Genomic DNA, 23463 nt, shown 5'->3' with positions numbered 1-23463 from the left:
TCCATTAATGGCACATTTATTTAAGTGTTATCTGTATATTACAGCAAACTATTTTTTGCATTCATTGTTTAACACAACCAACAACAGTAAACAATCTTAATTACCTGTTTGATTGAAAAAGTCAACATTTTTCATTTGTCATTGCAAAATTAAAGACAGATTTATAACTTCTTTAGGTATGGTTGTTACTGGGAACAATTTTTATTTAGTAGAAATAAATCAGTTTTTCCTTGAAAGTGCCTTATTGTTTAAACATGTTACTTTTTATTTTGGAAATAACCATAGATGTAGACAAGAGATATCCAACAAACACAGAGGTTGAAATTGAATGCAAAGTGAATTTGTAGCATGAAAAAGAAAAAAAACAAACAAAAAAAAGACTTTTCACCATCTTTTGTGGAAGAAGGTCGCTGAACATTGGCTCTGTTCTCCTCCTGAAGTTTGGTGGAGTTTCTTACAACAGCATTACTGCCCGGGCCATTATGCAGAACCCACTTTCATCTCATCCCTCAATTCCTGGGAGTCTCTGCATTACAACAACCTTTATGGAGCTTTGCAGCTAGCAGTATTAGCTTGCACTGTGACCACAGGGGAAGGGTAAACAATGCTCACCAGGACGGATGCCTGAAGGGTTATCATCTGAGATGGACTGGACATCCTGCCTTGCAAAAGGTTATCATCTGAGATGGATTGGATGTCCCTGCCTTGGAAGACACTCAGCTTGTTTCAATGGCTCTACATCAAGCAATCTTTCTCAGTCCAACTGATCTTATTTAAGCTCCACCAAAAGGGCATTTGCAACACCAAGCGATCAAGACAATGTTCAGGGGCTGTGTGGTTGGAAGTCCCTTGAAGTTTGATGGCTTGCCTTTTCATGACTTTAATAAATTTCATCTCATCTTGAAATCATTGGCCAACCATAAATCACTGATTAACCAAGTTAATGAATGAAATAGAACTAATAAAATGCAAACTCTGCACATATTAGCAAAGTGAGATGTCTTTCTTCAGGATCTTTTTAATCCTGATTTTGGCAGGCATAACTTTTGGGATGGTTTTTTTTTATTTTCAGAACATAAAACTTATTAACATATAAGCTCCGAGGCAATACAGCTTTCTTTTTCTTTTCTTTTCCTTTCTTTCTTTCTTTCTTTTTCTTTCTTTGTTTCTTTCTTTCTTTCTTTTTCTTTATTCTTTCATTATTTTCTTTCTTCTTCTTTCTTTTTTTTTTTTTTGACAGGGTCTCGCTGTCTTGCCCTGATTGGAGTGAAGTGATATAATCATAGATCACTGCAGCCTCAAACTTCTGGGCTCAAGCAATCCTCCCACCTTAGCTTCCCAAGTAGCTGGGGCTACAGGTACGTGCCACTGTGCTTGCCTAATTTTCGAATATTTTTGTAGAGACGGAAGTCTCACCATGTTGCCCAGGCTGGTCTTGACCCCTGGCCTCAAGTGATCCTCCTGCCTCAGCATCCCAAAGTGCTGGGATTAAAGGAATGAGCCAGCATACCTGGCTACAATATAGTGTAAACCAAAAATAAAAATTTAAGCCCCTCAACCATCTGAATGGACCCCAGTTCATGGCCCAGGAAATTCCAAAATTTACCTGGAAAACTAGTTCAAGCAATGATAAGAAGGGGGAGTTGGACATGCTTCATTATTCCCTCTTCCCTTCTACAATTCAGACACAGCTGACCTTAAGACTGATAGAACAGACTCTTTTAAGTCTGTTGTGAAACATTTACAATCTATTCTCTCTGAAGCCTGCTACCTGGAGGCTTCAACTGCATGATAAAACATCAGTCTCCGTAGCCCGTAGCCCGTTATCTTAACTCAGACATTCCTTTCTATTGATTCCAGGTCTTTAGTTAGTAACTCTTTCAACCAATTGCCAATCAGTGCATTTTTGAATCTGCCTATGACCTGGAAGCCCCCCAACATTCTAGTTGTCTTGCCTTTCCAGACTGAGCCAATGTACCAATATACATATAAGATGTATATATCTTATGTTATGTTATGTTATGATTAATGTCTTATGTCTCCCTAAAATGTACAAAACCAAGTTGTAGCCTTGTTGTACAAAACCAAGTTGACCACCTTGGGCACATGTTCTCAGGACCTCCTGAGGGCTGTGTCATGGGACACTGATTGCTCATATTTGGCTCAGGATAAATCTCTTCAAATATTTTACAGAGTTTGACTTTTTTTTTTCAACAATTGCTTTATGAAGTATCCTGATGTTGTTATAGCAAGTTCACATGAATACTAGAATTGCTAGATGTCAGCTGAAACTGGCTGGTATCAAGGAAGCATTCTTAGACTCTAAGAACATGTCTGTTATACAGATCTTGTGGTTTCCATTCAAACATGAAAAAATATTTAATCAAATGAAGATCTTTTAGTACATTTGCTGTGTGAAAAGTGTGGATGCATTTTCTAAGCATGGTTATTTTCCCTTTTTTTAAGGAATCAAAGTATAACTGTGATCCTTTGTGCAAATATATAGTTTATTTGAAATCTTTTGGACAACTAGGTTTTAATACAAAACAAAGGCATTTTCAAATTTTGCATTATGGATGGGCATGGAGACTCACACCTCTAATCCCAGGACTTGGGGAGGCCAAGGTGGGCAGATCACTTCAGGTCAGGAGTTCAAGACAAGCCTGGCCAACATGGCAAAACCTCATCTCTGATAATACAAAAATTAGCCATGCATGGTGTGTCACGTGCCTGTAGTCCCAGTTACTTGGGAGGCTTAGGCAAGAGAATCTCTTCAGCCTGGGAGATGGAGGTTGCAGTGAGCCTCGATTGCACCACTGTGCTCCAGCATGGGCGACAGAGTGAAGCTGTGTCTCAAAAATACAATAAAAATAAAAATAAAATAAAATTTCGCAGTATTAGGGAGTTTTTTATTTACACTTGTATTCTTTTTCATCTCAAACTGTATTAATCATTTATGTCAAAGCAGAATTATGTAAGTCAGAAAAGGCATATGGAATTGTATGGAGTAGATTTGAGGGAGAACAAATATTACAATGAGTTATAAAAAGATGTCTAAAATTTCTGAGATATTTTAATTAGCAGCTAGAGAAACAGTGATGGGGAAGAGTGAAGTCAGAATCTTCCACTCCCATCGCTAATCAGCTGTTGCTATTGTACACAATACAGTTGAACATTAATAAAACCTCCATTCGTGTTTCAGCAGATGCCACGTGACATCTGTCAGAGCTGGTATTTGCTTTGCAGTGTTTCTTGCAGTCTTTTTGGCTTCTGTTTCTTGCAGTCTTTTTAGCTTCATGGGTATACCTTTAAAACATTGTATTAAAAAAGTATATTTTCAATGAGTACTTCATGCAGGTATTTAACTGTCTGGCAAAGATAACTGTGATCTTTTTATTAAAAATCTAATTTCCCTTATGTGAAACAATCAAGTATTGAGAAGTTCTCCACAGCCATGCAAAGGGCAACTGGGTTTCCTAGGGTTACATTATGTCTATGGAATATTTCAGGAAGAAGGAATTATTGTGTGGCTATTAAAAATAGTAACTTAAAAATATGGACATTGGTTAAAGTTTCATATGGGTTAGAGTTTTCAAAATAATTGATCAGAAATTTATATGTCTGTGTGCATTTTTGATATATCACACTAACAGGCTGGAAACAACAGGCTTTGCTGATGTACAAAATCCAGAATAATATCTTAAGAAAGCCCTTTTGTCACAGAAAATGTAACAGATCAGGGATTTAATTTAAAGTTATCTCCAGTAAGAGAGGAGTATTTTTCACCTCCTTGGGATGCATGAAATTGCAAAGAATTGAGAGAAACTGCAGTTCAGAGTGAGAAGGATAGAGTTTGCAATTCCAGAGGGAAAATTTATTATCAAGGTTTCCCGAATCACATCATCTCATGGTCAATGCCAAATAATAAGTAGATGCAATAAATATTTCCTTAAAAAACAATAATCATGTTGACAAAAATGAATATTAATGAAACATAAATTACAATTTCTAAATCAGCTCTAACGACAAAAGAAAAGTGCAACTTTTCATGAGGATTAAGGAAAGACAATGAAAAAGGGTTGCAGTCTGACTAACCTCCACATAACCCCGGGGAATGATGTCTGGAGTTTCATGGACTGACTCAACCATCAGTTATGTGTGCAACTTTCTGCTTTCCTCTAGCAACTGGACAAGAGAAGTAGAAATTCGCCTGCCCATTGACGTTGCAGCTATAAACACAGAAGAGTAGTGTATAAAAGCAGCAACAAGAGTGAGAGCATCTTAATAATGCCTCGCAGAAGTTTATGGGGCTGCCCTCTTTGAGACACATGGTCAGTTGCCTTAGTTTTCTCGACATTCCATGCTTATCTATCAACTTCCCAGAAGTATAATATTTTAAGTAGAAATAGTTCAGTCCTGGTGAGCTATTCTGGGAGAAAGAGGACAAGCTGCTTGTTCTCAGTGCAATGCACCCTCTTGCTTCTCTGTCGTGGCCCCATGGTCGTCTAGGTGTGGGAACGAGGGAAATAAGAAAGGGTTACATTTTGCTTACTGAACACCAGCAAGGTAAGCACTTTTCCATTTTCTAGCTATGTTAACATTGACCTGGGAAGTGAGACAGAGTATTCATGTTGCTCTCTTTCATTACATTCTTTGTATCAAAAGATTTTGCTTGGAATTGTATTAAATTAATAGGTTACATGACTGTTTCTCATCCCCCCCAACAAGGAATATTTTATATTTCTTCATTCATTCAGGATGTGGCTTTGTCCTTCACTGTGAGCACAAAGTTCCTGGAAATATATGTTTATACACACACAAACACGATTGACTAAGAAAAGAAAAAACATATATAGGTGTGTATATAATCTATGTATATTAAAATCTATTTTATTAGTTATTCTGTAGTTTTAGCTGCTATTATGAATAAAAATATAATCTAATTTTAAAATTTATTCTATTGGCATAAAATGCAAGACAATTTTGACATATACAGCTTTTATCATTCATTTTACTACTCTGCCTCACTAATTCTTAAGTACCTTTAATTGTTTTTTCAATTTTCTAGATATTTAGTGTCAACATCTGCAAACTAAACATTGTTGTAGCTTTAAAATATATGTTAATAATTTAACAATTGCTTTAGCTTTCTGGTTTATCAAGAATCTTCAAAGCCATGTTAAGTAAGAGTGGTACTGGTGTTCATTCTGTATTTTTCCCTTGATTTTTAAAAGAAATATATAATTGCTTTTTTCTTTCCAATGATATTTGCTGTTAAGTAATGGTCATGTTCTTCTACTCTTATCTTACCTAGAGATTTTTTAGGAATAGCCTCACATTTTTAGGCAATTTACCAAATGCCTTTCCATCATCACCTCCCATGAATATAAACAGATGGTTTTCTCCTTTAATTTAATAAAATAAATGATCTTAAGCCATTCATTCATGCTTTCATCCAATATTAAAAATATTGGTCATTATCTTGAATATAGTAGAATCTATCGAGTTGTAATTTAGAATGTTTGCACCTAATCATGCACAATAAGCATATAGAATTATCCTACAATTTTTTCCACTATTTTCCACTCATCTTAGCAAGTTATAGCTTAAAAGTTACACTAACATCATGAAATCGGGCAATTTTCCAGCTTTTTCTTTAGCCTAGAAAAGTTTATGTTACATAGAAATGATTTGTTCTTTAAAGCTCAAGTAGAACACAACTGTGAAACCATCTGGGTCTGATGTATATTATTTTTTAACCTGGCGTCTCTTTAATTACCTTTTCAACACCTTCCTTTATTTGTAGATTCAGTTTTCTGCCTCTTTGGGAAGCCAGTTAGAATATTTTTGCAAGAAACTAGCCACTCGCTTCAGAATTCTCATATTTATTGCCATAGAAGTACATAGACTATGCACTTATAATCTTTCTTTTTTTTTTTTTTTTTTTTTTAGTATTTATTGATCATTCTTGGGTGTTTCTCGGAGAGGGTGATGTGGCAGGGTCATAGGATAATAGTGGAGAGAAGGTCAGCAGATAAACAAGTGAACAAAGGTCTCTGGTTTTCCTAGGCAGAGGACCCTGGGGCCTTCCGCAGTGTTTGTGTCCCTGGGTACTTGAGATTAGGGAGTGGTGATGACTCTTAAGGAGCATGCTGCCTTCAAGCATCTGTTTAACAAAGCACATCTTGCACTGCCCTTAATCCATTTAACCCTGAGTGGACACAGCACATGTTTCAGAGAGCACGGGGTTGGGGGTAAGGTTATAGATTAACAGCATCCCAAGGCAGAAGAATTTTTCTTAGTACAGAACAAAATGGAGTCTCCTATGTCTACTTCTTTCTATATAGACACAGTAACAATCTGTTCTCTCTTTCTTTTCCCCACATTTCCCCCTTTTCTTTTCGACAAAACCGCCATCGTCATCATGGCCCATTCTCGATGGTCGCTGTCTCTTCGGAGCTGTTGGGTACACCTCCCAGACGGGGCGGCGGGGCAGAGGTGCTCCTCACTTCCCAGACGGGGCGGCCGGGCAGAGGCACTCACTTCCTAGACGGGGTGGCCGGGCAGAGGCGCTCCCCACCTCCCAGACGGGGCGGCCAGGCAGAGGCGCTCCTTACCTCCCAGACGGGGTGTCGGCCGGCACTTATAATGTTTCTTTTAATCTCTTAAATCTGTGATTTTATTGCCTTTTTATTCATAATCTCATTCATTTCTTTGTGCCATCTTATTTTTTCTCAATCTAATATGCTAGTACTTTTTCTGTTTTATAGTTATTTTCAGAGAAATGATGTTTGGATATATTTCTGTTGGCTACTATTTATACTATTTTAGTAATTTCCGTTTTTATCTTTATTCTCTTTTATTTTACTATTTTAATTGTTTTTTCTAGTTTCTTATATTGAATAATTATTTCATTTATGTTCAGCCTTTTTTCATTTTAATAATGAAAGCTTGTGAATATAAACAGGTTTATCATAGATTTTGGCATACAGAATTAGCCTTTTCATTACTTCCTAGATAACTGACATATCTGTTATGATGTTCCCTTTGATCTGAATATTGTTTAATACCATGTTTTTATTAAATTTACAAGTAGATCACTCAATTTACAAATGATTGGGTTTTTGAGGTCATTTTGTATTGTTGATACCAAGCTTTCATTGTTTATGAAAGTGTTTTGTAAAATCTGGACATTTTACTTTATAGGATTTTGTTTTGGTTAAGTCACAGCCAGCATGTGTATAAATACATGCACACAAACATGTATCCATAAATACAAATGCAGGTCGGGCACAGTGGCTCATGCCTGTAATCCTAGCACTTTGGGAGGCTGAGGCAGGAGGATCATTTGAGGTCAGGAGTTTGAGACCAGCCTGGCCAACATGGTGAAACTCCCACTCTACTAAAAAGATACATAAATTAGCTGGGCGTGGTGGCATGCGCCTGTAGTCCCAGCTACTCGGGAGGTTGAGGCAGGAGAATTTCTTGAACCTGAGAAGTAGAGGCAGGAGTGAATTGATTGTGCCACTCCACTGCAGCCTGGGCAACACAGCAACACTCCATCTAAAAAATAAATAAATAAATACAAATGCATAGTTAGAAATATAGACATAGATATAGATACAATTATAGTTGTAGAGGTAGATGATATAGATGTATAGATATCCTGCCCATATCTTCTTGATTTGTATAATTTTCATGGACACTGCTCTGGTCTTCCAGTTTTCCACCTCCCAGCACCTGTGTCTTCTTGCCCAAGGGCCTTTCCTGGCTACCAGGTTCAGCTCCGGCAAAGCACAAAGCATACAGGACATGCCAGGAGACAATGCCTCCTACATTGGCCTCCAGCAATGGCTGAAGGGTGTTGGTGACCAGCAGCTCCAGCTCCCTCTTGTTTTGGGAATGAGAATGCTGAGGTGTGTGCTCTGCTCTACCTCTCAGAGACACTCCTCAGAATGAAGCTACAACTGCCCGCAGCAATCACTTGTATTATAGGACAGCACACCCTTTCCGAGCTCCTTCTTTTGTCTTCTCTTCTCCCTCTGATGTTTCCTAGGCTCACATCCCTTCCTAAAAGTGATCACATTAAAATCTTGGTCTCAATATCTGCTCCTAAGAAACATAAACTAACTTTCTCTCTCCCTCTCTCATACTGAAAAACAAAACACATTTTTCTCTCCTGCTATTCTAATGGATAGAGGCAGGTAATTCTATTATATAATTTGGCCAGAATAGAAAAATCTGTACTGTTCTTGTAACAGTCTTTGGCGAATATTGCCTATATTACAGAACTTAAAATCTGTATTCTGATTCAGGTTGCAACACATTATCTTGAACAAAGTGACACAACATCCAGCTCAGCTTGCTGTGGGCAAAGAGGCTTTGCCCCGCCTGTGAAGTACGCGGCTGCAAATGGCATTATTCAGCTCTTATTTTTGTCCAACAATGTTTCTCAAGGCTATAGCTGACAGGTGTTAGGGATCCTCACCTCCAAGTTGAGTCTTATTCAGACCCAGCTAGAGACTGATGTTATCTCAGGTCAGTATCTTCTTCAATAACAATAACAGAAATCCAACCTGGGACAATCTAAATTAGAACCTAAGACATTTCTATTTTGAGAGAAAGAAAAGAACCTGAGAAGTTTGACCCACCTCATGACAGGTGGTATGACTTGGTCTGAATCTACACGTATTTTCGGATTTGAAAAAAATCCAACCAAAACAAAGCAAGGAAAGATACTATGTGCTGCTGAATTACAGTCTGTAGTAGTTTTAGACTGGATGCAGCTGAGGTTGGAAAGCCTAAGTGGTTCATATCTCTGTAGCATTCAAGCCGATGGAAATTGGGGGATTCCTGGAATGTAATCCTTTTTAAAGTTCTTAAATAAGGGTTTAGGGCCCCTGCTGTAATATGCCAAGGCAGTTTAATGAAAGATGGGTAAATTATCCCTCTGCCTCCTCCACATGATCTACTTACACAGATACTAAGTCCTGTAATGCATGAATTGCCATCAGAGATTAAATGCTTAGAAAGGAAATAGATATGAATTTAGATGAAACCCACATTATACTATCTGGTTTTTTCTCAAACGGTATTTAGAAGAATAACGAGAGCATTTCTATTTAAAATGACCAAAGCCTCTTTCCGGCTTATCTAGTCATCTAGTAGAGATGAGTTTTTTTCAGGATTTCTTAATCAAGAATGATTTCAGAGGTTGCGTTCACTTGAGTGTCAAAGTGTGTACCAAGACAAATTCATTCAGTGAATTCTTTTGATTTAATAAAAAACTACTCAAAATAATTAATGTCACATTTTGGGATCATGGGGATACAATATTTAAATATTTAAAGTATTTTGCATTTTCAACTGAACACCTCTCTATTCAGTTGGTGGTGTAGATAATCTGAAAGACAACCACTTATCTTGGTTTTAAATGCTGGGTAGTCATGATAATGCTACGTTTTTTGTTACCAAAATGTTGGTGAAGAAACACACTGGATACACATATATGTAAGCAATTATAATTACTTATCTCTATGAAGTGGGTTAACAATGTTTTGATTTTTCCCCAATGAAATTTAGTTTAACTCAAGACTTTCTCTTTCTTTCTTCTTTTTCTTTCCTTCTTTCTTTCTTTCTTTCTTTCTTTTTTCTTTCTTTCTTCTTTCTTTTCTTTCTTTCTTTTCTTTCTCTCTCTCTCTTTCTTTCCTTCTTTTCTCTCTTTCTTCATTTTTCCTTTCCTTCCCTCTCTCCCTCCCCCCTCTCGCTTTCCTTTCTCTTTCTTTCTTTCCTTCTTCTTCCTTTTTTCTTTCTTCATTTCTTCCTCTACTCTCTTTCCTTTCTTTCCTTTCTTTCTTTTCTCTTTCTCTCTCTCTCTTTCTCTGTTTCTTTCCTTCTTTTCTCTCTTCATTTTTCCTTTCCTTCCCTCTCTCCCTCCCCCCTCTCTCTTTCTTTTCTCTTTCTTTCTTTCTTCTTCCTTTTTTTCTTTCTTCATTTCTTCCTCTACTCTCCTTTCTTTTCTCTTTCTTTCTTTCCTTCCCCCCTTTCTTCCTTTGTCCCTCCCCTCCCCAAATCTCCCCTCCCCACTCTCCCCTCCCCCTCTTTCCTTTCCTTTTCTTTTTTTGTTATGCTCTTAATATACCTGGGGAGAATAAACCAATGAATAAACATATCCCTGAAGTTCTAGAGCAGGGGTGTCCAATCTTTTGGCTTCCCTGGGCCACATTAGAAGAAAAATAATTGTTTTGGGCCACACATAAAATACACAAACACTAGCAATAGCAGATGAGCAAAAAAAAAAAAAAAAAAAGAAAAAAAAAAAGAAAAAATCTGGTAATAATTTAAGAAAGTTTACAAATTCATGTTGCGCAGCATGGAAGGCTGTGCTGGGCTGCATGCAGGCAATAGGTTGGACAAGTTTGGTCTAGAGGCTTATGGAGAACAGAGCTAAGTCATCATTATGGGAAGGCTGAATTACTGTTCTCAATTCTTCCAGCCTTCCTGCTCCAAGAATGATGCACCCATGCAGGATAGTGGCTCTGCAATGCTGTCCACTGCAGCAGGGAGCCGCCTTTGCTTCCTGCCATGGTGGTACTGGGCTTGGTGAGAGGATTTGGATTGGCCAGTGGGAATTGAGTGATGGCGTAAGGATCCGGCCTGGGGCCAAAGTCTCAGGAAGCCTCATGTTTCCCCTCCCACTGCGGTATTCCTGCGATCTGCTGTCAGGACAGCATGTCCACAGAGCCATCAATAAAAAAAGGATGGAATGGCACATGAACCTTAAATGAATACCAACTGCCGCTTGAAGCAGAGTGGCCCCAGCTCCCCTGCAGAGCCATGAATGTTCAAGTGTTTTCTGTTATGAATGGCTGGGTTTTTGGATGATCCCTTTTGCTCAGCATTATTGTAGCAATTGTGGCACAGTAGATGACTTAACTATGGTCTGTCCATATAATGAAAACTGGCCTGAAAGTCATTTGACTAAAAGGAAAACAGTTCAAACAAAATAAGGGTTTTGCAAAATTCCAGGAGTCTGCACACCACCACATCCCATTTTGGGGAAAGCGCCATCACCCACAGTTCCCCACTGAGAGAAAAGATCTAGGTGGCTTCTTACACATAAATTTCTTATCAATATTTTGAAAACCTTCAACAAAAGGAGAGACGCAGCTGGGCGAGGTGGCTCACGCCTGTAATCCCAGCAATTTGGGAGGCCGAGGCGGGTGGATCACCTGAGTTCGGGAGTTCAAGACCAGCCTGACCAACATGGAGAAACCCCGTCTCTACTAAAGATACAAAATTAGCCAGGCGTGGTGGTGCATGCCTGTAATCCCAGCTACTCGGAAGGCTGAGACAGAATTGCTTGAACCTGGGAGGCAGAGGTTGTGCTGAGCTGAGATCGTGCCATTGCACTCCAGCCTGGGCAACAAGAGTAAAACTCCCTCAAAAATAAATAAATAAATAAATAAATTTAAAAAACAATAAAGAAAAAGAGGGAAACACTTCCCTGGTGGTAGAAACAGAAGAGAAAATGTAACAGAGAGGAGGAAGTAGTAGTGAAAAATACTAAAGTTCTGAGAATAGGAGAGCAACAAAGTGATGATAGGTGATCAAAGTTGTCATTCAAGCTTTCTTCTCTCCATTATTCTGCCTATACTTGGGTTCGTGTTCTTGCAGGGAGGGCGTCTTAGTGATTCCAGCTGCCTATCTCTTCCGCAAGGTGGCATCTTGATGGTGATTTCCCTGGTTTCTTATTTTCACATGTATCCTCATTGTTTGAGGTAAATGGAATGATTTTCTGGCTTTGAAACTGGGAAAATCCAATACACATGTTTGTCAAGAGGAGGCTGAATTATTTCCTTTGTCAAGGTGCTGCTGGCTTTCCCTGTATTAATGCTTATATTAGAAAATATCTACACTGCCAGTCCAAAACACCACTCCAGACGCTTTAGAGATCTGGGCGTCGTGTGTGCTCTTATTTTTATGGTTGGTGATGGTTTTATGGTGTTCGAACATCTGGTTGATGCCAGACATTATGTTATGTACTAGAGAAGAAAAATGCTGAATCTCTTCCCCTAGGAATCCAGTTGGGCATATAGATATATACAAAGATAGTTTCAATGCAGTCTATTAGATGTTTATAGTGGGTGCTATGGAACCACAGAGGATAGGCACAGCAACTGCTTCCTGAAATTCACATGAGCTTTAAATAACCGCCTTGAAATGCCCGTTTATGAATGAAAGGAAAAAAGAAGAGTGCCCAGGTTTCCTCATTTACTCACTTGTTTACTATAGTGCATTTATGTGTGCATTCTTAGAGTGAATGTCCACAAGTTCAAAATCCCTAAAAGGAGCTCACAGCAACTCTTCCTATGAAAGACCCTTCTGTCCATTTCAGAGATGAGGATATCTTGATAAGAAAGATAAATAGGAAGAGCATTGCAGAAAGGGATAGACCAGTAGGATGGAAAATGTCTGCTTGTCTTGAGTCCAGTCTTTACAGCTCCGTTTCAGAACTATTTCAATTGTTGTGAACTTCTCCCATGTTAGGGATGCATACTCAAATCCCCAAACACGTTCAGGTTAGATATAAATTCATTTTCATTATCTTGCTTTCAGGATAATCCATGCCACTAGAGTATGCTTTCCGAACAGTGAAAACATAAAAGTTAAGAGGATTCAAATTGAAGTTGGAAAGTTTTCCCTCTAGAAATTAGAAAGACAACATTAGTATTAATAGTGTTTAAACTATTGAGTTAAATATTAACATTTTCCATTTAAAATGAAATTTAATAATGTATAGAAGAGCAACGCATACATTAGTATTTCAGAAGTACAAATGATGAAAGATAATGAGGCTCTTGTCTTCGTAATGCGACTAAAAATCAGAATATTCTAAAGTTTTATAAGCCTTGATCCTGTCATCATTAGTGTATAGTGTCTAGGCCGATCTCACAGAAAACCTCAAGGGAATATATTTTAACACTTTCCAGTCTAATAGTGTCATTCAAGAAAAAGGATGTCTTTATGTGGTTGAAAACAAGGTTTAAATTGCATAATCCTGTTAAGAAAGAAAACTAGGCTCTTTTTCATATTCTATTCTGTATAAACACATGCACACTTTTTTCCCCTTACTTACATTTAGAGCTTTCAGAGCTGAAGGCCAAGATTTAGTGCCAGCTCTTTCACACTTTTGATATCTCAAGAGTGCCAGCCAAGAAAACATACACAATGCTCACTTAATTTGCATAATATCCAGGGCTCAAAAGAGGTTATAATAAATGCTACAAAAAAAATCTTGTAAGGAATATGCTTGCCTGATATTTAAAGCTATTGATATGATTCTGCTTAGAAAGTGACTTTTGATGTTCCCAATTTGGGTGTCAGCTGGAGTTATTATGCCTGAAAAAAATTCACTTAACTCTTTCATATATGGTGAACTGTGATTGTCCTGTTGCAGATAAACACTTCCAAGGCCTCGCTTCTGTTATTTGTTGCTGTCAGCAGCCTTCTGAGATGGCACACCATGATACCTGCTCCCTCATCTTCACGCCTTGCTTAATCACATCCTGTTGAGAGTGGGCTGGAAAGAGCAAGTGGCTTCTGAGGAATGGAGCACTGCCAAGTGTTGGGATGACGCTACTGAGACTAAGCCACAAAGACTCTAACTTTATGGTCTTCTTTCTCTTTCTGGGCCTCCTCACCTGTTTTCATGAAGGAAGTTGTGAGCTGCCCCATGGAGAGGCCTATATGACAGAGAACTGGTCAACAGCCAACAAAGAATGGAGGGCCTCCGTGCAGCAGCCCATGAGGATCTGAATCCCACCAATCACCTTGCAAGGGAGCTTGGAAAAGGATCCACCTAGGCTTGACACGACTGATGTCCCGGCTGACTACAGGCTCATAAGAGGGCTCAGCTAAGCAATGCCAAAATTCCTCACCCACAGAAACTGTGAGGTAATACATATAATGTTTCTCACCATTATATTTTGAGATGTTTTGTTACATGGCAATAGGCACCTACAGTAGTCCCCCTCTTGTCCGTGAGAGAGATGTTCCAAGATCCGGAGTGGATGCCTGAAACCAAGGATAGTACTGAACCCTATATACACTGCTTTTTCTTATACCTACATACATTACATATGTATGATAAAGTTTAATTTATAAATAAGGCACAGTAAGAGATGAACAACAATAACTAATACTAAAATTAAACAATTATAATAGTATCTTGTGAAGTTAAGTGATATCGCCTTCTTTCTCTCAAAATATCTTATTGTACTGTACTCACCTGATATGGTTAGGCTTTGTGTCCCCACCCAAATCTCATCTTGAATTGTAATCCCCATAATCCCCACGTGTCAAGGGAGAGACCAGGTGGAGGTAATTGAATCATGGGGGTGGTTTCCCTCATGCTGTTCTCGTGATAGTGAGTTCTCACGAGATCAGACGGTTTTATAAGGGACTATTCCCACTTCACTCAGCACTTCTCCTTCCTGCAGCCTTGTGAAGAAGGTGCCTTGCTTCCCTTTCACCTTCCACCATGATTGTAAGTTTCCTGAGGCCTCCCCAGCCATGTGAAACTGTGAGTCAATTAAACCTCTTTCCTTTATAAATTACCCAGTCTTGGCAGTTCTTTATAGCAGTATGAAAATGGACTAATACATCACCCTTCTTCTTGTGATGGTGTGAGATGATAATATGCCTGCCTCATGAGATGAAACGAGGTGAATGACATAGGCATTGTGGCACAGGCGTTGTGATGTAGTAGTGTTAGTCTACTATTGACCTTCTGACAAAGCATCAGAAGGAGGGTCATCTGCTTTGGGTGATCCCAGATCTTTGAGCTATGATGATGTCTAATGGGTGAATGTCAGGAGCAGATGATGTCCATGACTCTTGGGTGGGTAGCGAGTTATGTGCCCAGCTTTGGTGGGTAGCGAGTTATGTGCCCAGCGTGGAGATGCTGGACAAAGGGATAATTTACATCTCAGGCAGGATGGAGCAGGACAGTGTGAGATTTCATCATGTTATGAAGAATGGCACACAATTGAAAACTGAAAATTGTTTATTTTTGGAACTTTCCATGCAATATTTTCCAGCTGCAGTTGTCTGCAGGTAACTGAAACTGCAGACAGAGAAACTGTGGATAAGGCGACTGCTGTAATGCATTCACTATACTTCATCTCTGAATGTGAGCAACTCCAGAAAACTACTTGGCCAGGTAATTTCTCAGTAAATAGAAAGTATTGTGTTCTACCTTTTGGTACCTGGAAATAGCTAACCAGGTATTTACTAAATATTGGCTGAAATTACCTTAATTATAGATTAAGCACCATCAGTTCCTGAGAATACTAAGATTAATACACATGATCTATGGTGATGGTTGAAATGTCTCCGATAGTAATTTTTGGCAGAGTTGGTTTAAAGCCCAAAATTGACCACTTGATCAATTTGACCAACAAATTGATTTGTTGTGTGATCTTGAGGGGGTTAATTGGCCTCTTTGAGCCTATTGTCTGATTAACTAAATTGGAAATAATAAAACCTATCTTGGCCGGGCACGGTGGCTCACGCCTGTAATCCCAGCACTTTGGGAGGCCCAGGTGGGCGGATCACAAGGTCAGGAGACCGAGATCATCCTGTCTAACACGGCGAAACCCCGTCTCTACTAAAAATACAAAAAAATTAGCCGGTCTTGGTGGCGGGCGCCTGTAGTCCCAGCTACTCGGGAGGCTGAGGCAGGAGAATGGCGTGAACCCGGGAGGCGGAGCTTGAAGTGAGCCAAGATCGCGCCACTGCACTCCAGCCTGGGTGACAGAGCAAGAGCCCGTCTCAAAAAGAAACAAACAAACACCTATCTTGCAGCACTTTTGTGAGAATAAAATAATGTCTGTGGAAGAGCTGACATTTAGAGGGATCTTAATCCACCACAAATATTTTTTTGTCACCAGTCACCAAGGAGCTCTTAATTTAAGAAGGAAGGCAGAAATGATTGTGGCAAATATGGAGTATGTGGAAACAGAGGTGAATTCAGTGTGCAGCAGGGAGACACACTAAAAAGCATCACTTATTTCTCTAAATGTTAACATTTTCAGTTAGTTGCCTCTTAACAGAGGAAAATAAAAATGAACAGGACGATAGTGATTTTTCCCCTTAGCAAGTCTTCACTAGCTAGTTTTGAAAGCATGGCCAGCCTTATCAATTACTTACGGGTCTTCTTAAGTCATGTTGGAAGGAAGAGAACATGCAGACTTGATCTGTAATTCAACTACATGCAATGCAAAGAGTTTATTTAAAAAAACATATGTGTATATACACACACCTTACCTAATGAATGGCTGGCTTTACTTCATTGTACAGTGCGCAGTCTCTGATAATAAATGCCAGGTCTGCATAATACAGAAAGGTTCGTTAAACATTTCTTTGGTCTTACTTTCAAGAAATGAGAATTTATATGAGGCATAAATAGCTCATGAAAATGTCTTATTGCAAACAGCTTTGTTTTAATGTTCAATTACCTTTTTTTTAAGCTGCATTTCTACAACCACACTGAGTAGTTTGAGTTTCTCATCTTCTGGTGTTTTCTCTCTCTCTTTCTCTCTCTCTCTCTCTCCACACACACACACACACACACACACACACATATTCGCACATGTATATTCCAGCGAAATCCCTTGCACATATACAGTGGAACATTTACCTTTGTGTTTTTTGTTTTCTTGTCTACTGCTGTACTGCAATCTTAAATAAATGCTAAGCTACTTCAGTGCATGGAGTAGAATCAAATGCAGCCTTTAAACCACTCATTTACAGCCAGTAGCTTTTTGCAAGAGAATAACTGGGCCTCACACTCTGAGTTTTCCAAAAGAAGGGCTGTAGCAACCACCTCCTTGGTGTAAAGCAGCATTATAAGGCCTTCCGGATACTTAGTAAGGCACGTTTTGTCATACCTTTGACCTGATGTGTTGAAAAAAAGTGTTTTGATATGTGGAAACCAAAGCAATTTTTTTCCCTTTGGCAATGTCTACCTCTATTTTACAGTTTGCCAAAACTTTTCTCTTTTCAAAAGTTATCATTTTAGACTGCAGGACTGCTATGGATATCACTTATTGTACTTTCTGAAAAATTTTAAAAGACTTCATAACATCTGTCACATCTGTCTTTAGTCAAAAGAATCCCCTGAAAGATCTTTTCCATTAGGTTTTGCATAGCCTTATGGTTTACTATTTCATCCCTAAAAATTGCTATTATTCACACAATAGGATGGACAAGCACATTGTAAATGAAAAGTAAATATAAATATAGTTTAGGATAGCAAAACATTGTGAAAAAATGTTAGTGCAGTATAACTGCTTCATATTTTTAGTTAGGTGAACATAGGTGAAGATTAAATACAGATATACAACTTTTCTCTTGAAAACTTCGATGTAACTCATGTTTTGAAACATTAAAAAGAATTTTTATATAAACAAAAGTGAAATAAGTTCTCACACATTCTGCAGTTCTGTATGAAAATTTTGCTAAAGGTAAATGGCAAGATGACATTTATTTATTTAGTGTCATCTCATTATATATTTTTTTCTTAATTTGTCCAACCAAGAGACTTTCCAAGCCTTCTAGCAATAATAAGATTATATAATAAACCATGATCCCAAAAGCATGTTACAGGAAAAACAAAAATCTTGACATTTTAGTTGACTACAAATTTGTTCTGAGCTAATAATATGATAAATTCTAACTGATTTTAGAAATCAGCATATTAGAATAATTTCTTATAAAATGTCACATGTGTGCTACCCAGGCTAGACCACATCTAACTATTATATCTAAGCCATTGTCTTAATTTACAATATAGGATATCAAATAAACACCACTGTCTACTACAAGGTCTTTTTTTTTTTTTTTTTTTTTTTTTTTTTTTTTTGAGATAGGGTCTTGCTCTGTCATCCAGGCTGGAATGCAGGGACATAATCATGTCTCACTGCAGCCTCCACTTCATGGATGCAAGAGATCCTCCTGCCTTAGCCTCCTGAATACCTGGGACTCCAGGCATGCATCACCACCTCTGGCTAATTTTTGTAATTTTTCTTTTTGTAGAAATGGGGTTCCACTATGTTGCCCAAGCTTTGAACTCCCAGACTGAAGAGATCCTCCTACCTTCGCCTCCCAAAATGCTGGGATTAAGGGCACAAGCCACTGTGCCCTGCCTCCTACAATATTTTGACAGACATCAAATAGCTGCACTCTTTCTGAACAAGCCTGAATGTAACCTCTTATTTTCTTCTCAACTATGGTAGTTCAGGTCACTATACTAATTAATCAGCATTGTTACCATTTGTGACAGACTCAACAGTATCCAGAGTAGAGCAAATTATCATTGAAAGCACTTTTGAAAAATGGAATTGGGAACTGGTAGTATTTAGCAAAGAATGACAGTATCCAACAGAACACGGGAGCTCTCTTCAAATATTTAAAGGAGTGGTGTATGGAAGAGGAAGTAGATTCACTATTTGTTACAGCTCTTGAAGTCAAAACAAAGAAGAAGGCAGAGAATTGCAGGATCTCTGCTTATAATAGAAAATGTCAATTAGTGAAATAAGTGCTCTTAAAATGCTATAGTTACTCTCAACCCCTAGAACTATGCAAAAGTGGCTGAGGTATTAATCATTGAGAAGACTTTGGTAACAGTGAAATAGGTGACCAATAAATTAGTACCCAGAGGCTAAATTATGACATTAAAACACCCTCGGATTTTCATAAAAATAATTATTTTGCCACCATTTGTACCAGATTATGTCTGATTGTATTCAAATATTTTATGCAAATATTTCAGCACAGCATAATTACTGAGTTTGATTTGTAGACATGATTTATATATTCAAAGAAGACTGTGGACATCTCTCTTGTTGAAAGCTCTTTGGGCAAAAACTAAAGTGGCCTTAGACTCAACGTGCTCTGCAATATTATCTGCATTAATTTTGAATGTCACAAACAATTAGAAGCATTGTTAGAGATAAAAGTATTTATCATCATGTATGTCAATGTATTCTCTTAATAAGTTAATAGATGGAGATCATCATTCTAGATTTACTTTTATCTTCATTTTGACATCTGAGGAATTATGGTAATGTTATGTCAGAAAGTATGAATAAATGCTTGGAAAGTGTCAAAATTACACAGGTGCCATTTTGAAAGGGGTAACTTCAGAAAAGTGCACTTGTAATATCCAGGAATTCATACGGATAGTGAATAGAATGATAGAAGACAATGCAAAGCACTTCCTCACAGATAGCCAAGTGAGAAACACATAAAGAATGATGGAGTTGGGAAATCTTTGTATTGTAACCACCATATTGGCATCAAGGCCAACTAGATGACAAAATTAATTTGATGAACAAGATATGATATATACATAGTCTGAAATAGCCCATTGATTTCTTATCAATACCACATGTCTTATAAATTGCAAAGGTAAAATTAATAACTTTGTACGGGGATATCCAAGAGACACCATTTTAACCAAGTGATGAAGTTTATCATCACCAATAATGAGACAGAGGCATCATGTGCATCTAGACATAAGGTACTAGAGAAAACACACCTCATTTTGATGGTACTCCTGCCAAAAATAAATAAATTGAATCCAGTTATCAGGAATCATTAAACCAGCTCATATCGAAGGATGTTCAACAAAATAACTGGCCTGTCTTCAGATATATCAGCTTCATGAACAAACAAGAAACAGAGAATGTTCCAGACTGAAGGAAAGTAAAGTTACCAGACAATGTGATGTCATTCATGATTGTGAATTGGATACTGGACCAGAAAAAAATATAGCTAAAAAAGACAGTATAGCAATAATGAAGAAATTTTCAGTATCACTGTGAATTAGATAGTACTGCGCCAATGTTATCAATGATACCAATACTATCAATGAATTAGATAGTATTGTACCAATGTTAAATGTCTTGATTTTGTTAATTGTATCAGGTTCGTGCAGTTTTTATCTTTGGGAAATTCATACCAAAATATTTGGTGTTAGGTGAATATGATATCTACAACTTAATTTCAAGTAGTTCAGAAAAGTATATGCATATATAGATATACATATATAGATATATAGAATTGTGTGTGTTATGTGTGTATTTGTGTGCATGAAAACACTTAGGGGAGAGAAGACAGATAGATGATAGGTAGATAGGTAGCTAGAGAGAGAGAGAGACAGACAGATAGACAGACAGAAAGACAGACAGGTCCCTTAGACAGATAGATGGACAGACAGACAGACGGGCAGACGGATGGACAGACAGACAGAAAAATAGACGGACAGAAAGAAAGACAGATAGACAGATAGATGGACGGAGGACGAAAAGACATACAGACAGACAGACAGATGGACAGATAGAAAAACAGACAGAAAGATAGACAGAAAGGTAGACAGACTGAAAGGTAGACAGGCAGATAGAAAGACAGGTAGGTAGGTAGGTAGGTAGATAGATAGATAGATAGATAGATGATAGATAGATAGATAGATAGATAGATAGCCAGCCAGCCAGTCAGACAAATAGACAGATAGGCAGACAGATAGACAGATAGATAGACAGATAGACAGAAAGATAGTTAGACAGACAGATCCACAGATAGATAGACAAACGATAGCCAGCCAGCAAGCCAGCCAGACAGACAAATAGAGAGACAGACAGATAGATAGACAGAGAGACAGATAGACAGATATAGATAGATAGATAGATACAAATAGATGGATAGGTAGATGATAGATAGATAGATAGATAGATAGATAGATAGATAGATAGATAGACAGTCAGATAGAGCAAAGCAGTTGGGCGCAATGGTTCACACCTATAATCCCAGCACTTTGGGAGGCTGAGGCGGGCGGACCTGAGGTCGGGAGTTCAAGACCAGTCTGGCCAACATGGCGAAACCCCGTCTCTACTAGAAATATAAAAATTAGCCAGGTGTGGTGGCGGGTGCCTGTAATCCCAGCTACTTGGGAGGCTGAGGCAGGGAGAACTGCTTGAACCAGGGAGGCAGAGGTTGCAGTGAGCCAAGACTGTGCCACTGCACTCCAGCCTGAGTGAGACTCTGTCAAAAAACAAAACAAAACAAAACAAAAAACCACAATAACATAGATAGAGCAAAGCCACTGTGGGAAATTTTTAACATGTCCTAAATCTGGTTGAATGTTTACAGCAAATTTTATACTGTACTTTGATATTTTCTGTGTGCTTGAAAATATATAAAATAAAAATTTATAAAAATAAAAAGAGAACCAGAAACGAAAGTTGGAATAATCAAAAATAAATCTAAACAATGATGCATCTCTGGGTAATCAGTTGTTTTTTTTAGCTCATTCTGATGAAATTTTTGGCTGAATTGACTTCAGCAGTGGATCTCACTTTCTGAAAGATTTGTGCTGTCCTGTTAGGCTATCTGATACACAGGACTCAGTTTGTGGGAAACAGAAATGAAGTACAGTAACTTATGGTAAATATTTAACAAGAATACAGCTCAGTACCCTGCAGCATGAACTGCAGGGAAACTTACCTTAAGCAGAACCATACCTAACAATATTTAGGTTTCTTAAGCTGTTTGGGATTACACCACTTGTGCCTGCATAATGTCTAGGATGCCTTCTTAACAGCAATTGCAATTTTTTTTGCAAAGCCCAATACCAAAATGTAAAAGCTGGAAACTATTATGCTTTTCTCGATTCAAACTTTAATAATATACATTTGACAATGAGCTTATTTATATATGGTGAACTGTAATATAATGTGATGCAAACCTCATCCTGTGGTTATTCCAAATTTTCCACAAAATGTTCACAGAAGTAGCATTATCAAATAAATGAAATGTGAAAAAAATAATACATTCAATCTTGGCTTTCAGTAACAGAATTCAAGTTTAATTGCATGGACATGAGTTGTTCATGTTATTCATCAAGTTCAATGTCATTATCGATTTTTCAGGAATAGTATCGGCATGACTTACATTTTGAGGAATTTAGGCCAGAAATCCTAGGTGCCAATAATCTTTCTCTATATGGGAAAAATGCATCCTTTAGTCCCCCTGTCTGAAGGGAAACCACAGAGGCAGTGGAACCGTTAGAAGCAGGAAATAGGTTTGAATAATATAAATGGCCAATGAGTTCCTTTCTTTCTTTCTTTCTTTCTTTCTTTCTTTCTTTCTTTCTTTCTTTCTTTCTTCTTTCTTTCTCTCTCTCTCTCTCTCTCTTTCTTTCTTTCCTTCTTCTTTCTTTCTCTTTCTTTCTTCTTTTTATTTTTTTTTTGAGATGAAGTCTCGCTTTGTCGCCCAGGTTGGAGTGCAGTAGCGCGATTTCGGCTCACTGCAACCTCCATCTCCCCGGTTCAAGCCGTTCTCCTGCCTCAGCCTCCCAAGTAGCTGGGACTACAGGTGCCCGCCACCATGCGCAGCTAATTTTTTTTGTATTTTTAGTAGAGATGGGGTTTCACCGTCTTAGCCAGGCTGGTCTTGAACTCCTGACCTTGTGATCCGCCTGCCTTGGCCTCCCAAAGTGTTGGGATTACAGGCGTGAGCCATGGCACCCGGCCAATTTTCTTATTTGTATTTTCAGATGAGGTTTGAGAACATTATATGCAGTTTTATCTACTTAATGAAAAGATGTCAAAATATTTAGCAGTCAATGAATATAATACCTGTAACGTAGTCTCAAATGATTTCTTCTCCTTCTGTCCTAAAAGAAGTGTAGGGTCTTGTCTACACTAACCCCTGAATGATACACTCAGGGACTTAGTAAATGGGCAGAAAGTGGTTAGCCAAGATAATTAAAACTGAAGTATTATATTAGTGCTTTACTCTTCTTAAGAGTTTTGAAATCCCACTATGGTAGAGCCTCTTCAAGGCTGAAAAGAACATCATGAAAGAGCTTTGCTGGTGGCAGCTCTCACATGAATCACCACCACCAGGAATGGCTAGGCAGATAACTTTTGCATATGTTTCAACATTTTACTTTCGGTAGCTAAAGCAGAGGAGATGCTTCTTCTTTCAACTAGCAAGCTCCTGATGCCTCTCGAACCCAGATGCATCATGTTAGAATGAAAACCTTGTTCTTAGAAAATGAACTCAGTACAGTGTGTGGCCCTCACAGAGATGACACAAATGGCTTCTTCAATGGGAAGCTCATCGCCATCATCCCCTGCTCCATCCATTATTTGTTACTGACAGCTGCCCATGTGTCAATCTTATGTCAAGTACAGTGGAAGCCAGCTTCAACACAAATCCGCTTTTCATGTGACACCTGATCCCAGGTCACTGCCCCACACTCCTGCTCCGTTCTGTGAATGAGGGCCAAATTTTAAAAGTAATACATCATGGAACAGTTTTTTTTTTAAGTTATGTACCTTAATTGCCCATGAAGGCCTTACCTCATGTATGCTGTCCACTCTCCAACTAAATTCA

General features: G+C 38.2%; 1 long non-coding RNA gene across 2 annotated transcripts, besides 2 other annotated features; it reads left to right on the top strand.

Annotated features, from left to right (window-relative positions):
* Positions 235 to 736: an enhancer, noted in NCBI's record as "NANOG hESC enhancer chrX:8476153-8476654 (GRCh37/hg19 assembly coordinates)". NCBI's record gives its function as "activates a minimal SCP1, AML or CMV promoter by ChIP-STARR-seq in primed H9 embryonic stem cells {active_cell/tissue: H9 hESC(primed)}" and the evidence as "EXISTENCE:reporter gene assay evidence [ECO:0000049][PMID:30033119]".
* Positions 4284 to 19174, top strand: LINC03113 (long intergenic non-protein coding RNA 3113). 2 transcript variants are annotated; one of them, XR_001755793.2, is made up of 5 exons: positions 4284 to 4566; positions 13718 to 13956; positions 14502 to 14584; positions 15102 to 15223; positions 18100 to 19174. It is a non-coding gene; the product is annotated as a long intergenic non-protein coding RNA 3113 (long non-coding RNA). The 2 variants fall into 2 exon arrangements; XR_001755792.2 differs by having other exon boundaries at positions 13460 to 13956.
* Positions 13182 to 14381: an enhancer, noted in NCBI's record as "P300/CBP strongly-dependent group 1 enhancer chrX:8462508-8463707 (GRCh37/hg19 assembly coordinates)". NCBI's record gives its function as "activates an origin of replication core promoter dependent on BRD2, BRD4, P300/CBP, MED14 and CDK7 cofactors, with strong dependence on P300/CBP, by STARR-seq in HCT116 cells {active_cell/tissue: HCT116}" and the evidence as "EXISTENCE:reporter gene assay evidence [ECO:0000049][PMID:35650434]".
* Positions 19175 to 23463: the final 4289 nt, after the last annotated feature.

The sequence above is a fragment of the Homo sapiens genome, chromosome X, assembly GCF_000001405.40.
Source record: "Homo sapiens chromosome X, GRCh38.p14 Primary Assembly".
NCBI lineage: Eukaryota > Metazoa > Chordata > Mammalia > Primates > Hominidae > Homo > Homo sapiens.
The sequence above is the reverse complement of the archived record's forward strand: the minus strand, read 5'-3'. Positions and strand labels throughout refer to the sequence as shown.